General features: G+C 38.3%; 2 protein-coding genes across 4 annotated transcripts in view; both read right to left on the bottom strand.

Annotated features, from left to right (window-relative positions):
* Window positions 2,173–20,276, bottom strand: part of C8orf44-SGK3 (C8orf44-SGK3 readthrough) — a 194,427-nt gene continuing 176,323 nt past the window's right edge. Inside the window, exons 17-19 of the mRNA NM_001204173.2 lie at window positions 16,847–17,002; window positions 13,275–13,364; window positions 2,173–4,784 (exon numbers count right to left, since the gene is read on the bottom strand). Coding sequence (NP_001191102.1) covers window positions 4,614–4,784; window positions 13,275–13,364; window positions 16,847–17,002 — 417 coding nt within the window. The 3' untranslated portion in view covers window positions 2,173–4,613. The remainder of the gene's footprint in view (window positions 4,785–13,274; window positions 13,365–16,846; window positions 17,003–20,276) is intronic.
* SGK3 (serum/glucocorticoid regulated kinase family member 3) overlaps window positions 2,173–20,276 on the bottom strand; it is a 149,242-nt gene continuing 131,138 nt past the window's right edge. For all 3 annotated transcript variants that reach the window (NM_001033578.3, NM_013257.5, NM_170709.3), the window contains 3 exons: window positions 16,847–17,002; window positions 13,275–13,364; window positions 2,173–4,784 (listed from right to left, as the gene is read on the bottom strand). In NM_001033578.3, the coding sequence (NP_001028750.1) occupies window positions 4,614–4,784; window positions 13,275–13,364; window positions 16,847–17,002 (417 nt within the window). In that variant the 3' untranslated portion in view covers window positions 2,173–4,613. The remainder of the gene's footprint in view (window positions 4,785–13,274; window positions 13,365–16,846; window positions 17,003–20,276) is intronic.

Raw genomic sequence — 20,276 nt, 5'->3', positions numbered from 1 at the left:
GGGAGACTTTTTGTTACTGATTCAATCTTGCTACTCATTACTGGTCTGCTCAGGTATTCTATTTCTTCCTGATTCAATCTTGGTAGGTTTTATGTTTCCAGGAATTTATCCATTTCTAAGTTTTCCTATGTATAGTTGTTCATAATAATTTCTGATAATCTTTTCTACTTGTGTGGTATCAATTGTAATGTCTCCTTTTTCATTTCTGATTATTTGGATGGTCTTCTCTTATTTTCTTGGCTAGTCTCGCTAGCAGTTTATTAATTTTATCTTTTCCAAGAACCAACTTACTTCATTGATCCTTTATATTGGTTAGTCTATTTCATTTAGTTCTGCCCTGATCTTTATTATTTCTTCGCTCATCTTGGGTTTTGTTTGTTCTTGCTTTTTCTAGTTCCTTGAAGTACATTGTTAGATTGTTAATTTGTAACCTTGCTACTTTTTGGATGTGGGCATTTATTACCATAGGCTTCTCTTAGTGCTGCTTTTGCTGCATCCCACAGGTTTTGGTATGTCATGTTTCCATTTTCATCTGTTTCAAAAATTTTTTTTCCACTTCCATCCTAATTTCTTTGTTGACCCAATGGTCGGTCAGTCGTCCAGGAGCATGTTGTTTAATTTCCACATATTTACAGTCTCCAGAGTTACTCTTGGTATGGATTCCTGGTTTTATTCCATTGTGGTCTGAGAAGATACTTGATACATTGATTTTTAAAAATTTGTTGAGGCTTCTTTTGTAGCTTAACATATGGTCTATTCTAGAGAATGTTCTATGTGCTGAAGAAATGGGTGTATATTCTGCAGTTGTTAGATACAACGTTGTGTAAATATCTGATAGGTCTATTTGTCTAAAGTCCAGTTTAAATTCAGTGTTTCTTGATTTTCTGTCTAGGTGATCTAATACTGAGAGGGGGATATTGAAATTCCCCATTATTGTATTGCTGTCTATATCTCTCTTTAGACCTAGTAATATTTGCTTTGTTTTTAATCTGGGTGCTCCAGTGTTGGGTGCACATATATTTAGAATTGTTATATCCTCCTCTAGGCCTAGCATGGTGGCTCATGCCTGTAATCTCAGCACTCTGGGAGGCCGAGGCAGGCAGATCACTTGAGGCCAGGAGTTCCAAACCAGCCTGGCCAACATGGTGAAACCCTGTCTCTACTAAAAAATACAAAAATTAGTTGGGTGTGGTGGTTCATGCCTGTAATCCCAACTACTCAGGAGGCTGAAGAACGGGAATCGCTTGAACCTGGGAGGTGGTGGTTGCAGTGAGCCGAGATTGCACCACTGCACTCCAGCCTGGGCAACAGGGTGAGACTCAGTCTCAATAAATGAATGAATGAATGAATGGGAAATCCCACTTTAAAAAACAGACCTAATTTCCAAACTGCTTGTATGAGGGATGAAGTTATCAATTTTAACACTGTATTGAAAAGGTCATTACAGCATTACCAAAAATGCTCATGCCTATCCCTACTTTTCATAGAGTACATTATACACAAAAGAATGACTTACAAAATGTTTGTGTACAGTTCTGTAGTATCATTTGGCTGTGGAAAATCAATATATTTGTTACAAACATGCTAAAGATATTGGTAATGATAAATTTTTCAGTGATAAAAATTCAGAATATTTAAACTCTCATTCAAATGTTTACTCCTGCTGAAATGATATCTGAACAGTTTGCTGGCTTTCTTTGTAAATTGCATATGAAAACTTCATACAGAGGATCTGCTACCACTGTCTGCATCGTTGGACACCTATTCCCCAAGTGTGACAAATTTGGTAATTTTCAGTGTGTATTATGATGTGACAATGGTTGGGAAGCCCTATTTTGTACCATATGCAATAAAATGGGAGGTATGGGTAACATTAAAAATATTATAGTCTTCATTTAGACCTTTGGTATATTTTGATAATAACCATGAAATGGTTATTCAAAGGGCATACATTTTCCTAAAAGACTTATGCTATGAGAGAAAAGGTAAACTTGAAACTTAGAAAACATTTTGCTCTCTGAATATTATACACATAAGCCTATGATAATCTAGTAATTCATGTGTCCAAATAATTTCTGTTCACATTTTATTTTTCCCCCACACACATATAAATAATTCATTTTATAATGACCATTGCAACCATTACCAATTTCAAATAATGACAGACATTAGTTGATCTTTTTGCTGATTTTATTATACTATATAGATTTGTATTTCTTGTGATCTGAGAAACATCAAAATTCTATTTTAAATTTGTTCTTAAAAATATACAATATTGCACTTTAATTTTTGGCAGCTTAACAGGAATGAATGAGTACAAAAAATCATACAAGAAACTAGAATTTTTATTTTGCTTCATAATAAGAGCTTTGTGAAAAACAAAACTTACAGTAGTGCCAAATAAACCAAATATTTACAGTATAGATATTAAAGTCTTACCTCTAAAGGAAGATTCAGTGTATTGGATGTAAATATTATTAATATAAGAAAAGTCACCCCCACTGCCCAATTCTGCTGAACATTTTAAGCCAAAGAGTATTGGTGAGAAATGCTTCTGTGATTTCTTTCTCAAGACATACATGGAAGGGATGCTTGTTCTTGGAGCATCTAAAGTGGGTCATTAAACTTTTACAAAAATGTTTCCTCCATAACTTAAAAAAAACCTCTACTCTAAGCCAAGAATCCAAGGTAAGCTTATTTTTTATTTTTTAAAGTTCTTCTGTAGTTACTCTCTCTTTTTTTTAAAATAAATAGAAATGAGGTGTCACTACATTGCCTAGGCTGGTCTTGAACTCATAGGCTCAAGTGATCCTCCTGCCTTGGCCTCCCAAAGTGCTGGAATTTTATAGGCATGAGCCACCGTGCCCGGCCAGTTATTCTCCTTTACTTTTATAAGCATGTAAGTTAGTTGGTAGGTTACAATTTTAAGGTCTGTTTCCTGTGCTTTTTCTAAGATATATTGAATTGGATACTGAATACACATCTGCCTGATTTTCAACTTTTGTTACATTGTAATAAAACTGTATACATTTACTTTGACCCACAATTTGTTTTTACTTTTTTTTTCTCTTAACTAGGGTCTCGCTGTGGCACCCAGGCTGAAAAGTGCAGTGGCACAATTTCAGTTCACTGCAACTTCCATCTCGTGGGCTCAAGCCATCCTCCAACTTCAGCCTCCAGAGTAGCTGGGACTAAAGGCATGTGCCACCATGTCTGGCTAATTTTTGTATTTTTTGTAGAGATAGGGTTTCGCCATGTTGCCCAGGATGGTCTCAAACTCCTGAGCTCAAATAATCTGCCTGCCTCGGCCTCCCAGGGTGCTTATAGGCATGAGCCACCATGCCTGGCCTATTATTTTACTTTTTAATTCCCAATTAGGCAAATATTCTAGAAAGCTCAATTTTTTATTTTACTTAACCAGTTAGGAAAAGAGCTTTGAAATACCTATTTGCAAAAGCAAATACAAAGATTCAGAATGACTTAATAGCATACTAAACATTCAAAAGATGAATAGAACATAAATATAATGTATTTGTAATATAAATATATGACAGACATTCATTTTTGGTACCACCTTAAAAAATCCAGTACATTTTATTACCCTTCAGATCTTTGGGAATACTTAAAAATCCTAACCATTAAGCCTTTTCTTTTCCTTCAGAGGAAAAATAATCCACAAAGTTGAACTGGTATTTCAAAAACAAATAATTTCCTTTTGTTACTTTTTCTTTTTTTTTTTGGAGATGGAGTTTCACTCTTGTTGCCCAGGCAGGAGTGCAATGGTGCGATCTCGGCTCACTGCAACCTCCGCCTCCCGGGTTCAAGCGATTCTCCTGCCTTAGCCTCCCAAGTAGCTGGGATTATAGGCATGTGCCACCACACCCTGCCAATTTTGTATTTTTAGTAGAGACGGGGTTTGTCCATGTTGGTCAGGCTGGTCTCCAACTCCTGACCTCAGGTGATCTGCCCGCCTCAGCCTCCCAAAGTGCTGGGATTACAGGCGTGAGCCACCGCGCCCGGCCTGTTACTTCTTAAATGATCTGCAGAATAAAGTTATTCCAATTGTTAACTAGCAGCCAATGTGTTAATTATGCTTTTACATTTCGATCATACCATGAACCAAATATTTCAAACAGTGATTTATCATGGAAAAATACGGTTTCTTCTTAAACAACCATGTACCAATTGCATAGTTTTGGTGTGATAACAAAAGCCATAGCAAAGAGTTACAAAGGTATTAATATATGTTAGCTGAACTGAAATTGACTGTTAAAAAACAGTCTATCTTGGGTAGATGTTAGTGTAAACTTAGAGGGAAAAAACAGTCAATAGCAAAAAAGGTTTCTTTAAAAATAGGTTAATGCTAAGAATAATAGCTTTTAAATTGTTTAAAAATAAGCTTATTAAACAAGAATATAAATTTTAATCAAAACAGCTCTTTGAAATGCCCTATTTTTCTTGCACATAGAAGAAAATACATTTTTTCATAGTTTTCATCATTACATATAAAAATGAGGCACTAGTTATACATATTTGAATATATTCACACAAATAGAAGTTTCAGTCCCATCTATAGACTTATTTTGCTCAATGGTTTCTGAATGGCAAACTGCTCACAAAAATAAGTCTTCTGAAGGAGGTGCATAAGAGAAACCAACGAATGCATCATCTGCCTCCAATACACTGGCATTCACTATAGAATAGTCAGAAGATACACACACAGAATATGGAACTGTTTCTTCTGTAAATGCTGTGTCAAAGTTTCTGATATCATCTGGTCCAGCCTAAAACATCAAAAGCACAGTATTATTCACCTTAGCTTTTCTTTCATTAATTTAATCCTTTATTTATTTATTTATTTGAGACAGAGTCTCACACTGCCACCTGGGCTGGCATGCCAGTGGCGCGATCTTGGCTCACTGCAACCTCCGCCTCCTGGGTTCAAGCAATTCTCCTGCCTCACCCTCCCGAGTAGCTGGGATTACAGGCGCCCACCTACCACGCCCAGCTAACTTTTTGTATTTTTAGTACAGACAGGGTTTCATCATGTTGGCCAGGCTGGTCTCGAACTCCTGACCTTGTGATTCACCTGCCTCAGCCTCCCAAAGTGCTGGGATTACAGGTGTGAGCCACCGCGCCTGGCCCAATTTAGTCCTTTATTACAACTCCTTTATGAATTTGTGTGTTTATTCCTGGCAAGGTTAGATGTCTTCCTAATTCATTCCCTTGAAACGCTTTTCTGCTTTTCCTTTCCTGACCTTTATTATTTAGGTCAAGTTATCTGTCCTCCTAAAACAGGGGTGTCCAATCTTTTGGTCCCCTGGGCCACATTGGAAGAAGAAGAATGGTCTTGGACCACACTCACCAACATTAACAATAGCTGATGAGCTAAAAAACAAACAAAAAAATGCAAAAAAGGTCTCATAATGTTTTACAGAAAGTTTAAGAATTTGTGTTGGGCCGCATTCAAAACCATCCTGTGCCTCATGTAGCCCACAGACTGTGCACTGAACAAGCTTATTCTAACAGTTAAGGTTCTTTTTGAGTTGGGGGAGGAGACAGAAAAGTAAGGAAGGCTCACAAACAGAGATTCATTGTTAATTTAAATCTCAAGGCTTGTCACTGATCCCCTTTCTCTCTACCCATCACTGCCTCACACTACACCCAAGTTTAGAAAAAGGTCTCAGGTAGGTTTTCAGGATAGCATTTTGTATTTTTTTTTTTTTTTTGAGACAGAGTCTCGCTCTGTCACCCAGGCTGGACTGCAGTGGCGCCATCTTGGCTCACTGCAAGCTCCGCCTCCCGGGTTCACGCCATTCTCCTGCCTCAGCCTCCCGAGTAGCTGGGACTACAGGCGCCCACCACCATGCCCGGCTAATTTTTTCTATTTTTAGTAGAGACGGGGTTTCACCGAGTTAGCCAGTCTTGGTCTTGATCTCCTGACCTCGTGATCCACCTGCCTCAGCCTCCCAAAGTGCTGGAATTACAGGCGTGAGCCACCGCACCCGTCCTAGCATTTTGTATTTGAGCTTCCATAAAACGCCTGTCCATCTGGTTTCTCAATTATGGGTGGGTAAAGCCTTCTGATGAATAAATGAAGCGGTTATAAGTAAAATAATAATTTTTTGTTATCACTTATTTAATTAGGTTCTTGGTTATAAGTAAAATTGTGAAAGATGACTCTTACTGTGCTACAGAGACTGTCAATGAAGCATTTGACTAGGGCACCCTTAGCTCTGGAGGGCTTCCGAGTCCTGATATGAAAATTAAGCATGATGGCTGCTTAGGCTCAAAGGCAGTGGTTAACTTTCCTTTACAAATCTGATACAAGCTAATAGACTCTACCTTTCCTACACACACACACACACACACACACACACACACACACACACACATACACACACACTTTTTTGAGACAGGGTCTCATCCTGTAGTCCAGGCTGGAATGCAGTGGCACAATCACAGCTCACTGCAGCTTCGACCTCCTGGGCTCAAGGGATCATCCTGCCTTAGCCTTCTCCAAGTAGCTGGGACCACAGGCATGTGTCACTATACCTGGCTTATTTTTTATTTTTAGTAGAGTCAAGTTCTCACCATGTTGTCCAGGCTGGTCTTGAACTCCTAGGCTCAAGCAATCCTCCCACCTCAGCCTCCCAAAGTGTTGAGATTACAGCCATGAGCCGCCATGCCCAGCCCCAATATATTTATAGATAAAAACTGGGATACAAATTCAGGTGATTCATTCTTAAAGTCCATCCCTGAATTTCTAGGTTATTTCTGCTCTACAGGGAAGGGAACCCTTAAAATGTTCAAGTCATTAAGTCTAACTGAGGGTGTGCTGATAGAAATTCAGAGTGGATATTATAAGCAAAGGATAACAGCCTGGTACATCTACAAACTGAGCAGAGACCACAAAAACCCAGAATGCTAGATCCTCCCATATGAGAAAATCCCCCATAGAGACAAAGAATGCTAGAAGTTTTATATGTATGTATGTATGTACGTATGTATGGTTTTTTCCTCATCAAATTCTTATATACAATCCTTGAAGCATGGGCTCTTGGATTCTGGCTACAAAATTTGCTAGCTGTCCTTTTTTTTTGAGACAGAATCTCATTCTGTTGCCCAGGCTAGAGTGCAGTGGCGTGATCTTGGCTCACTCAAACCTCCACTTCCTGGGTTCAAGCAATTCTTGTGCCTCAGACTTCTGAGTAGCTGGGACTACAGATATGTGCCACCATGCCCAGCTAATTTTTGTATTTCTAGTAGAGACAGGGTTTCACCATGTTGGCCAGGCTGGTCTCGAACTTCTGACCTCAAGTGATATGCCCGTCTCGGCCTCTCAAAGTGCTTGGATTACAGTTGTGTAATTCGTTATATAAACTACTCTATCTCTATGAGCTTGTTTCTTCTTCCATAAAGTAAGAATACTATCACCTACCTCCTGAGGTTATTGCAAGGATCTGATGCGTTAATAAAATTTCCAGAATCTAACATGTAGAAGGCACTCAAATGATGGCAATGTTCTCTGACTTGCCTTTATAATGCCCTCATGGCTCATGGCTGGTACTGACAGGAATAATACAGGCTGAGCATCCCAAATCTGAAAATCCAAAATCCAAAATGCTCCAAAAGCCAAAAATTTTGAGCATCTACATGACAGTCACTGGAGCATTTTGAATTTCAGATTTTCAGATATGGGATGCTCAATCAGTAAGTAAATCCAAAAATCCAAAAAACAATCCCAAATCCAAAACACTTCTGGTCCCAAACATTTCAGATAAAGGATACTCAACCTGTACTATGTGGTTTATTAAGAGTGAGAGCGGGCCAGGCACGGTGGCTCATGCCTGTAATCCCAGCACTTTGGGAGGATGAGGCAGGCGGATCACAAGGTCAGGAGGTCGAGACCATCCTGGTTAACACGATGGAACCCCATCTCTACTAAAAATACAAAAAATTAGCCCAGCATGGTGGCCAGCTATTGTAGTCTCAGCTACTTGGGAGGCTAAGGCAGGAGAATCACTTGAACCCGGTAGGCGGAGGTTGCAGTGAGCCAATATCGTGCCACTGCACTCCAGCCTGGGTGACAGAGCAAGATTCCATCTCAAAAAAAAAAAAAAGAACAGTTGAGGGCTCTGCCTTCAGAGTATCTGAGAGTTAGAGTTCAAATTCTAGTTCTGGAACTTTAATTTTGAGAAAAGTTATTTAACTTTCTTTGTGCCTCAGTTAACTCATCCATATATATGGAAAATTACAGTACTATCTCATAGGATTGTTGTCAGGATTTAGTAAAAGGATACATGTAAAGTACTGAGAACACTGTATGAGAACACCTACTTCATCAAACCCTAGAATAGCTAACTGTTTGATCTTTGTTAATCTGCCAGGTGAAAAATGGTAACCTGTTATGGTTTAATATTGCACTTCTTCAACCGTCAGTATGAACTTCTTTTCATATAATTGAAAGCTATTTGTATTTCTTTTTCTGTAACTTCATGTTTTCTGTCTTTTGTCTATGTTTCTATTGGTTGTTGGTGTTTCTTCCCATTGACTAGTAAGAATGCTTTAGGTGTTAAGGAAAATTTTCCCAGTTTGTTATTTGCTTATAGTAATTTTTATGCAGATATTTCTAAATTTTATGTGGTCAGTGCTCACTTCGGCAGCACATATACTAAAATCTTATGTAGTCGGTTGGGTGCGGTGGCTCATGCCTGTAATCCCAGCACTTTGGGAGGCCCAGATAGGCGGATTGCCTAAGGTCAGGAGTTCAAGATCAGCCTGGCCAACATGGTGAAACCCCATCTCTACTAAAAATACAAAAATTAGCTGGGCATGGTGGTGCACACCTGTAGTCCCAGCTACTTGGGAGGCTGAGGCAGGAGAACAGCTTGAACCCGGGAGGCGGAGGTTTCAGTGAGCCGAGATTGCACCACTATACTCCAGCCTTGGCGACAGAACAAGACTCTGTCTCAATCAATCAATCAATAAATGAAATGAAATGAAATTTTATGTAGTCAAATCTACCAACTTTTTTCTCTTATGGCTTCTGGGTCATGCTTTAAAAAGCATTCTTCACTTAAAGATTATACACAAAAACATTATCTTAGGTCTTGCAAGGGTTACTTTTAGGTTCCTGGAATAGGTGTGACCACAGGTGCGTGCCACCACACCCAGCTAATTTTCACTTTTTGTTGTTGTTGTTGTTGTTAGAGACAGGGTCTTGCCATGTTGCCCAGGCTGGTCTTGAACTCCTGGGCTCAAAAAATCCACCTGCCTCAGCCTCCCAAAGTACTGGGATTACAGGTATGAGCCACTGTGTTCAGCCCATACCTAGGTTTTAATTCTTCAGAGGGTTTGGGAACCAAGGCAATGCATATCAAGGACCTAACACAATGCTGGGTACACAGTGGGCACGCACTAGAAGTTAATTCCTTTTTTCTCCCCTCCACTTGGAAATGTATAACATAAATATGTCCTGGTACTAATATGCACCCTCACTCCAATCTGTCCTTTCTGGACCCCTGTATTTTCATAGTAATCCCTTCCTACCACACCCAATCCCTTAACACTTAACTAATTTTAACAACCATTAATAAGAGTGATTCATTGACCCAGAAATGAATATTTTCTTTCAGCTTACAGAATTGTTAGAATGATGCCAGCCTCCCCCCAGGTCCAGACCCACCTCTCAGATGTGGCTTCTGAATGACCCACTTGGAGCATGGCCAAGCCACTCCTATCACAGCTCAATACCACATCTACCCCCTTCAGGGCAGGACTATGCCATACTTTTAATTTAGGGATTATTTTCTATGCTATACTTTTACTTTAAGGATTATTTGGGGGGAACCTCTAATTTGAAATGTTGGTGAGCCCTCTCCCACCAAGCAGTCAATTTTTGTTTTCATACTTTTCCAAAATTTTATATGTAATAAACAGAAATTCCTAAAGTAGGGACTGAGGCCACAGAACTGTAAACTATTAGCTATGCAGAATAGTCAATATTTCAAAAAGGGAGTCAAAACCCTTAGCAAGTTGTATTCTAAGAGATGCCAAAATGAAAGCAGCAACAAAGTAAGTTTTTCTGAGGATTAAAGTGGAGGCAAGGATCAAAACCTGGGTGTACCCAACATAGAATGGAATGTTAGGATATGCTTCATAGTAACTTACAGGATTTCAGATGGAGCTTCAATGAAATCCTACCTAAATACGGCTTATTTTGGAGGCACTTGTTTTGTGTTGGTTGTTCCGAAATGGTATAATGAGAAATCTTTTAAAGTATCAAAAACTACTTGTTGATAAGTTTTATAGCAAAAAAAGATTAAAATATAATAATGTACCCATTCATGGTTTGTATTAGCCCATTTTAGGTCACTGCTATTATCCTTTCTCTATCAGCTGCTGAGAGAATAAAATTAAGCAACCAATTCTTATTAGGATAAATTAAATATTTAGCAGTATAACCTCAATTCTGTGGGCTAAAAAAAGAGAATCCAGAATGCATTTTACCCATTGTAAACAGAGAAATAAACTGCTTCCAGTCCTTTTTTAATGTAGACTAGTTGGACACATATAATTGAAGTAAATACTTTATGCAACCTGTTAGATTTTGAAATAATTCTCAGTAACTGCTAGAAACATTCATCATAGAAATACTGAAGCTTAGCATGGTCAATAACCCCACTCTCCCTTTCCCTAGTAACTACCCTATTAAAATATAAAACACTAACCGATTGGAAAATCAACTAATTCATTTTATTCACTGAAAGAGTAAGCATCAAAGACTATTTCTGTCAACTGTTTTTCCCACAGATGCAATCATAAGTTATTATGAGGCATCTGCTTTTTTGCCTCACATTACATATTTTAATTCCACAACACTGAATGCCTAATATGCACTAAACATAGAATTATTTAACTCTTCTCTTTATATATTTTATCCCCTTAACTGTAATTTTCTTGAAGACAGAGCCCATGTTCTACTTGTGTTTTCTAAGTTACCAATAAATATTTAATGAAAACATTCCCAGAGGGAAAAGAATTAAAAAAAGGTATTATTAATTAAATATCTACTGTGTGCAATGCACTGAGGTGCTTTACAAATGTTACCTAAATTAAACCTCAAAGCTCATGTTGTGAAAGAAAAAAAAGTATAGAGAAGCTTAACTTCTAGTTAATCATAGAAGAGCAGGGATCCAATGCTGGAGCTATCTGAGTCTGAAGTCAATACTGTTTCCATTTCCAGTGTTGCTTAGGAGTCCCTTCAACATTCTTCAACATGCTTGATGATATATTTATTTGAATGTAATTAAATTCTGCTAAGATACTTAGTCTAAAGAGAAAAATAAAATAATTCTTAAGAGTCTTAGTTTCCTACCACAAACTCTAGAAATTTGGGACCGAAATTATTCCTAATGGAGTCATTCCTGGATGCACTACATGAAGTCAGTCAGTCTACAAATATTATGTATGTAGGTGTAAAATATTACACCTATTAATTAATACCAGCTATGAGCTATGTATAGAAATTAACCTGGAACAAAGCCTGATAGACTATTAAATAATACTTTCCTGATCTCCTTATCTGCTCTAATTTATTAAAAAAGTATTCCTGGCCGGGCACAGTAGCTCATGCGTGTAATCCCAGCACTCTGGGAGGCTGAGGCGGGTGGATCATGAGGTCAAAAGATCGACACCATCTGGCCAACATGGTGAAACCCCATCTCTACTAAAAATACAAAAATTAGCTGGGCGTGGTGGCGCATGCCTGTAGTCCCAGCTACTTGGGAGGCTGAGGTAGGAGAATCTCCTGAACCAGGGAGGCGGAGGTTGTAGTGAGCCAAGATCGCGCCACTGCACTCCAGACTGGCGACAGAGCAAGACTCTGTCTCAAAAAAAAAAAAAAAAAAAAAAAGGATTCCTTAAGTTTTGCAGCAACATCAAAAAACTTAAAAAAAGAAAATAAATTCACCTATGATCTTAAAACTCCAAATCAGTCTTGGCTTATATTCTATTCTAGTCCTTATCCTTATTTTTACTGCTATAATTATAAGTCACAAAAATTGTAATTACCATGTTTTCATGTAACTTTATAAGGATTTTCTAAGTGCTTGCTCATTTTTATATAATTTAACAAGAAAAGACAACAGAGCATAAGGAAACAGAATAATGACTCTGGAATCACGCATATATTGGAATCCTGGCTCTACTATCCAGCTATGAGACATCTCTGAGCTTCTATTTCCTCATTTATAAAATGTGTAATAAGAAAAACAGTAATAGTAGTAAGCTGGTAGCTTAAGAGTAAATTATATATTATAACACATACAAAGTGTATATCCCTATACAAAGGAAGCTATCATTAGTGACTAACATCATTACTGGCCTACTGATGATTATTAACAATTTCCCTGTTGTTATGTATTTACTGTATTTTCCAAAATTTTCTAACACTGTTAATAGTATAAAGCTCATCTTTAATATGGCTTTTTGCTTTAAACAAATTATCTTTAGGTGAAATGTTTCCATCAAGTAGATTTAACAAGTCTAGCTAACATGAACATTTTTATAATACTATCCTATTGTTTTCCCAAGAAAGTAACAATTTACATTAATATGATTTTATTAATAATGTTTGTCTATACCTGTTTTTTTTTTTTTAATTTTATTTTGAGACAGGGTCTCGCTCTATCACCCAGGCTGGAGTGCAGTGGTGCAATTTCGACTCACTGCAATCTCCACCTCCTGAGTTCAAGTGTTTCTCATGCTTCAGCCTCCCTAGTAGTTTGGGAGTGTAAAGGCATGCATCACCACACCCGGATAATTTTTTTTTGTATTTTTAGTAGAGACAGGGTTTCGCCATGTTGGCCAGGCTGGTTTTGAACTCCTGGCCTCAAGTGATCCACCCACCTCGGCCTCCCAAAGTGCTGGGAGTGATCTGCCCACCTCAGCCTCCTAAAGTGCTGGGATTACAGGTGTGAGCCACCATGCCTGGCTGACTTGTTGAGTTCATTCTTTTCTTATACATGCTCCAAAGAAACACTTTACAATTACTGTGCTGGAAGACATTTTTATCAACCTAATCTAACTATAATCTTACTGGTCTCCCTGAAGTTATTAGTTATACTAGACAACCCTGAGTGACATATTTCACAAATATTTAGGTAATGACTCCATTTAATTCAGGTGATTCTGAGATCTAGTTTCAAACTTACAATGAACTGCTATTAAGTTTCACGATTCTAGAAAGAAAGATTTGGATATATACTTACCACATTAGGATTAAATGGTGGTGGAATCTTCTTTTGTACAAGGTCAGCCCAGCTGAGTGATTCAAAAAAAGGATGATTCTGAATTTCAAGCTGGAATATTAAAAAAAATTTGTTTTACTAATGCCGAAGAATATATTAAGTACTAACTGCATAATTTTATGAAGCCAAACTATTACTATTTTGCCCCTCAATAACTCTTTTTAGGAACATGTGTATGTTATTTGTGTGGCAAAATGATGTTATTCATGTAAGCAATAGAAAGACTGAAAGAAAGTTACTTAGAATGACCTACTTAAACTTAAGTTGTATTCTCTTCACAGTCAGTTTCCTCAGTGGTAAAATGGGGATAACCTTTCTGCCCTTAATACTTCAGGGGAAGTATGTTTTAAGGATCAGTGTAAAGTATGGATGTAAAGTGCTATGAAAAGAATAAAGCACTACAGAGTTACAAAGAATTAGTGTTATTACTGGAGTAGGTGGGTAAAGAAGTTGGGCAGAGAGCTTTATACAGTGGAGTAGAAATAAAATCAGTCATGAGTTCTACTAATAAAAAAATATCCCACTCAGGGTTGGTATTACCAAACAATGGCACAGTATTGACTCTAGCTATTTTTCCTTCAAGGTGCCACAGGAGTGTATAAAGTAGGATCCAACCTAATTTGGTGGGTTAAAAAAGACTTCTTAGAGAAAGTGGTATCTCACCAGAGGTCTGAAAAATGAGTAAGAATTAAGCCAGACAAAAGAATGGGGAGAGCATGTTCCAGAAAGGCTCTGAGGTGGCAAAGAGGTTAGTATGGTCAAGAAAATGAGAGTCCAATATGGCTGCAGTGTAGGGAGGGATGGGACTGTCACATAAGGTGAAGCTCAAGAGCTAAACTGGCTGTATCATATCAGGTCTACATGAAACATTTTGGATTTTGCTCTAGGGTCATAAGAAGCCATCAAGGGGATTTAGTTATGAGAATGTCACAACTGGTTTTTCTATTTGTTTGTTTTTTAAAGCATCAGGTTGGTGAGAAATGTTTTTTAAACCACCACCCTGGGCCAGGCGCAGTGGCTTACACCTATAATCCCAGCACTTTGGGAGTCCGAAGTGGGAGGATCACTTGAACCCAGGAGTTCAAACCCAACCTGGGCAATATGATGAGACTCCCATCTCTACAAAACAGTGTGGTGGCACATGCCTGTAATCCAGCTATTTGGGGGCTGAGGTGGGAGGATCACTTGAACCTGGGAAGTTGAGGCTGCAGTGAGCCGTGATCACACCACTGCACTCCAGCATCGGTGACAGAGCAAAACCCTGTCTCAAAAAAAAAAAAAAAAAAAATATTCCCCCAAAACATCACCCTGGCTACAGGGAGAATTAGATTGAAGAGTCAAGACCAGATAAGGGAAAAATAGCAACCACTGTAACCAGACTAAAGATGACAAAGAGTAGGACAAGAGTAGTAGCAGTGGGGCTAGAAATGTCTGGATATGGGAAAGATTCAGGCAGCAAAAAGGAACTGGCTGTTTGTTGAATATGGAAGTAAGGAAGAGAGAAGAATCAAGAATGCCTCTCAGATTTCTGGCCAGAATAGCCACATGGACAGTGATGTCCTTTAATACAAAAGGGAGCACAGGGGGACAATAGCGGCATCTGAGGTACTCTCAGGAACTCCAAGTGGTGATGTTGAGCAGGCAGATACTATGTAAGTCTAGAGTTTAGAAGAGAGGGCTGAAGAGTACAGAAGATATAAATGTGTGAGATGAAAACATATAGATAACTAAAGCCATGGGACCAATTGAGATTGCCCAGGAAGACAGCACGGAAGAAAAGAGGGTTTAGGACGACAGGGCACTGCAACACTTGAAGTTTGAAAAGGAGCTTACACAGGAAATAATGGAGAACGGTCCAGAAATACAGAAAGAAAAGCCTGAGATGAGACGCACGTGTGCTCTTGCAGAAGGCTAGGGAACAGGAGAGTGTTGCAAGTTTAAATGCTGCTGAGGGCGGCATAAGTTGAGGAAAAGTAGTATCCAGCAATTCTACTGGCTATTTTGTGGTAGATTGAGAAATGAAAGAGCTTGGGAAAGGGAGACTGAACAAAGAAAACTTCCAACAAGTTTGGCTAAGAAGGGAAGGAGATAGAGTAGTACCTCTCAGGAGAGTAAGACTGAGGGTTTTTTTGGCTTAAGAAGCAACAGATTTGATAACATTTAATTACTGACTGGAAGGAACCAGAAAAAAAGGGGAGCAGTTATTTGTGCAAAACAAACAAACATGGACAGGGTTCCTTACAAATGGACAGGATACAGTGCACAGGTGGAAACAGACCTTTTCCACTACAATACGAAGAAGAAAATGACAGGATCCTGCAAGTGTATATAGGTCTGTGGATTTGATAGCAGGAAGCTAAGTTAGCTCCACTCTAATGGTTCTATTTTCCTTACAAAATAGAAGGCAAGATCATCTGTTAAAAGTGAAGAAGAAGAAAAGGAATCTGGGAAGTCTGGAGAGAAGGTGTGAAATAGTTAATACAGAGAGGAAGAGAGTAAGCTACACAGAGAAACAAAGAGTATTACCAGACAGTGGGGAAGCACAGACGAGGTTCACAGTGCTTCCAATATGCCCAGTTTGTTACCTTCTTTAGCACTGTTCAGCAGCCCATGAGATGATAGTTGGATTCATCTAGAGCTGCAATCTCTGTCAATGAATTCAATAAATGGACCAAGGGACAAGGAGGTGTGAAATATTAGCAAGACTGTCTGGAACAACGGAAAGGAAGTTGTTGGCAGAGCTACCAGCTGAACTGGGGAGCAGGGGTAAAGCAGTAGCAGCAAAGTCTTTTATTCACAGCTCAAGTTCAAAATTGATAAGCAGCCTCCAAGAATATCTGAGAAAGCAGTTCAAAAGTTCATATTCCTCAATATTTTTGTGCATTTACTGACACACTAACATAATGCCGGTAACTACACTACAAATTTAATTACCCTTATTTGAAACAAACATGCAGATTCCCTAATTATCTCAAGGAGGTCTCACCAAATTCTTAAAAAAAAAAAAAAAAAAAAAAGTGACTTAGTGTTCAAGGCAAAAGACATTACCTCATGCAGACAGGAGGCACTTAACAAATTCCTGCTAAAGGAAATGATTTAGACTTTAGATAGTCCCAAACCCTCAACAAAAAGCTTACTAGTTGGTTAGTCTCTGTGTTATTAGTTCATGAAAATGTTAGTATTATTTAGCAATAAAAACAGCAAAAGAAAGTTTAGGTAGTGAAAATATGCCACACAACACTTTTTAAAAAGAAGGGGAGGGGAATTTGTAATAAATGAAAATCAAGTAAATAATAGGGTGCGAAAGTGTATGTGGTGGATAGGGCAAAAGTGTATGCAACAGAAAGTGCTTTAAATACTACATAGTTTTATATAAATACAGGTGAAAACTGTGGAGACAAGTATGCTTTTTTTCCATGTTGCTATTCTCCGCATATTGTATTCATTCCATTAAATACCATATAAAATAAAGCTTTATTTCCAAATTTTAAATAAGCTTAAATAAAGCTGGAGCTAGAAAAGCTGTTACATACAAAGTCTTCCTTGGCACCAAGTCGATTTTGCCTGTCTTTTTCTAGGAGTTCTTCCAGAATGGACCAGGCTGTAAGACTCACTCCTGGCCTCAAACTTAGGGGTTTGTGAAGGATATTGTCATACATTTCAGCAACATCTCGGCAATAAAAAGGAGGCTGGAAAAAAAAAAAAGCAAAATAAACTTAGTGGTAAACAAATTATGCGCAAATGGGGTTAAAATGGCTTTAATCTTGAGGGAGCAGTCAGTTGAAAAAATGTATGGACCTCTTGGGACGTGTAGACACCTGCAGTGTGGCTTCCTGAAGCAAAGAGATTCTAAAACCGAACACATCACAGAGCTTAATAAGTGTTCACTGAATGAATTAGGGCCAGTTTGTTCAATAGCACCTTGTAGACAGCTGTTAAATTATATACAACTTGTAGTAGTACCTGTTTTAGAGAAAACCACCAACCTTATCATAGGCATAATGACAGAATCATTGGAAATAGAAGTTCAAGACAGATCAAACATTAATTTCAGACTTGGGAATAAACTCACTGAAACAAAGGGATTTCTAGTAGAGATGGAGGCCTGAAGATAATGTTTCTTAGGTACTTATGACAGAGATAATATTATGACTGTACTTTGCAGAATTAAAAATGCCACCGCAACAGCCAAAAGACTTGGGGTATAGCTTCAACACAAGCATTAGCTAGTTAATCATCTAATTATAAAGGTTTAAAGTAAAAATAAAGACCAGGCGTGGTGGCTCACGCCTGTAATCCCAGCACTTTGGGGGGCTGAGGTGGGCAGATTGCTTGAGGCCAGGAGTTCAAGACCAGCCTGGGCAACATGGTGAAACCGTCTCTACTGAAAAAATAAAAAACCAGCTGGGCATGGTGGTGTACGCCAGTAGTCTCATCTACTCAGGAGACTGAGGCATGAGAATCGGTTAAACCTGGGAGGCGGAGGATGCAGTGAGCTGAGATTGCGCCACTGCACTCCAGCCTGGGCAACAGAGTGAGACCCCATCTCAAATAAATAAAGTAACAACTTTTGAGAAAAAAAATGAGCTGTACAGGTTTCTGTACTCTGGGAATAAGAGGAAAGAAGATTATCATGCTACTCAGGTTCTATCTGCAAGGTTGTAATATGTAACCTACAAAACTACTTCCTTTTGAATTAATGTGTCCAGAGCACCAGAAACATTTTTCCAAAGAGGGAATTACCATGTAAAATGTTACTGTTCTTTTTTAAAAAACAAAAACAAAAACAAAAAAAAACCCAATTTATTCACCAGAGGACTGGTCTCTAATATTTTACCCTTGTGGGTTTGTTTTTACCTTTTAAATATTAGTTACCAGTATTTTTATAAAATAAGATGAATCTGACTTAAAACATTAAAATGACATTTTTTTCTTTTCAGTCTCTTTTTGTGAAAATTACAAAAGTAATATATGCTTGTTGTAACAAATCCAAACAATACAGAAGTTTACAAAATAAAAAGTGACGCCAGGCACAGTGGCTCACACTGGAAATCCCAGCACTTCGGGAGGCTGAGGTGGGCAGATCACTAGAGCTCAGGAGTTTGAGACCAGCCTAGGCAACATGGCGACACCCTGTCTCTACTATAAATAAATAAATAAATAAATAAATAAATAAATAAATAAATAAGCAAGCTAGGTGGGGTGGTGCATGCCTGTAGTCCAAGCTACTCAGCAGGCTGAGGTGGGAGAAGCATCAGAGCCTGGGAAGTCAAGGTTGCAGTGAGTCGTGATCATTCTACTACACTCCAGCCTGAGCAACACAGTGAGACTCTGTCTCAAAAAAAGTAAAAATAAAAATTAAAGTATACATAATTTTTAAAGTTAAGGGAGTTTTATAGGCTTGCCACTTTTCCTTTCCTTTGTGTAGGAAAGAAAAAGCTTATCTTTTAAAATATGACTTTTTTTGTTTTTTGTTTTTTTTTGAGACGGAGTCTCGCTTTGTTGCCTATGCTGGAGTGCAGTGGCATGATCTCCACTCACTGTAACCTCCGCCTCCCAGGTTCAAGTGATTCTCCTGACTCAGCCTCCCAAGTATCTGGGATTACAGGGGCATGCCACTGTGCCAGGCTAGTTTTTGTATTTTTAGTAGAGACGAGGTTTTGCCATGTTGGACAGGCTGGTCTTGAACTCCTGACCTAAGGTGATCTGCCTGCCTTGGCCTCCCAAAGTGCTGGGATTACAGGCGTGAGCCACTGTGGCTGGCCAAAATAAAACTTCATTTTAAAACAATAAAAGTTTGATTAATAAAATGTATGTTTTAAATGTTCTCTTTTGAATCAACTGCATTTTATGTGCAATGATATATTTTCAAAGTCCTCTAAATAAATTTGAAGGATTCTGAAATATCAAGATGGCAAATAAATAGTGCTTAAAGGGAAATCAGGTATAAAGTGGTTTTCCAATGTTCTAAGTCAGTAGCATAACCAGAAAACTAGATCTTTTAACATGCAGGTCACAGTCAAGGGCAAAGAAGAGATGGTGTTGGCTTTCACAGGAATCTATCATTCGAAACTAGCAAGATAAAACAAACGCTCTGAAATGTACTTCATGTGCTGAATTTCACTGTAAGCGCCACAGTTTTCAATAAAAAGCAAATAGACACTCAGCTCAGGTCTTGGCTGACAGTGGCATTTAACATCAGCGGTAGCAGCAGCCTCAGGGATTCGCACATGGTTCCCAGCATGAGGCTGCTGGACACTTAGGGGACCACAAAGGGAGTCTAGGAACTATTTCTAAACATGTCAAAAAGCCTACAGAAAAACATACATGTACTCTTATAAAGCTATCTGAGCTAACTAAAATGCCTACACTGTTTGCTTTGGGTTGGAATAATATTAACTCAATGTAGTGAAAAAACTTTATTCTCATTAATCAGAAGCTCTGGCCAGCCTATGTGTCTTTAACTAAATAAGAACTGGGCAAACTGACTGCATAAACATCACTTTTTTCAAGAAAATTTTTAAGACATGGTGTTTTCAGGGATGGGAACAGAGTGATCTCCAATCATGGGAAAAGCTGAGCACCTGTGTATTAATTAAATCTATTAAACAAAATAAAAGGCAAAAACCAAAAGATCTTCTGAAATACAGTAATTTATTGATAAATGCAAAATCATTTTTTGTCCATTATCTTAAAATTAGAGTGATATTTGAGTAAACTGAATGGAAGCAGATAATTTTAATATTACAACCAGTTGTCTATTTCTAAAAATGCCAAGGGGGTAAGAACATCTGAAGTAGTTATTAGAATAGCAGAGAAACAATTATATTAATTTAAAAAAACTAGTAACAAATAAAAAGGGTTTTTTTTTTTTTTTTTTTTTTTTTTGAGACAGAGTCTCCCTCTGTCACCCAGGCTGGAGTACAGTGGTGCAATCTTGGCTCACTGCAAACTCTGCCTCCT

Source organism: Homo sapiens, chromosome 8 (genome assembly GCF_000001405.40).
Source record: "Homo sapiens chromosome 8, GRCh38.p14 Primary Assembly".
NCBI lineage: Eukaryota > Metazoa > Chordata > Mammalia > Primates > Hominidae > Homo > Homo sapiens.
The sequence above is the reverse complement of the archived record's forward strand: the minus strand, read 5'-3'. Positions and strand labels throughout refer to the sequence as shown.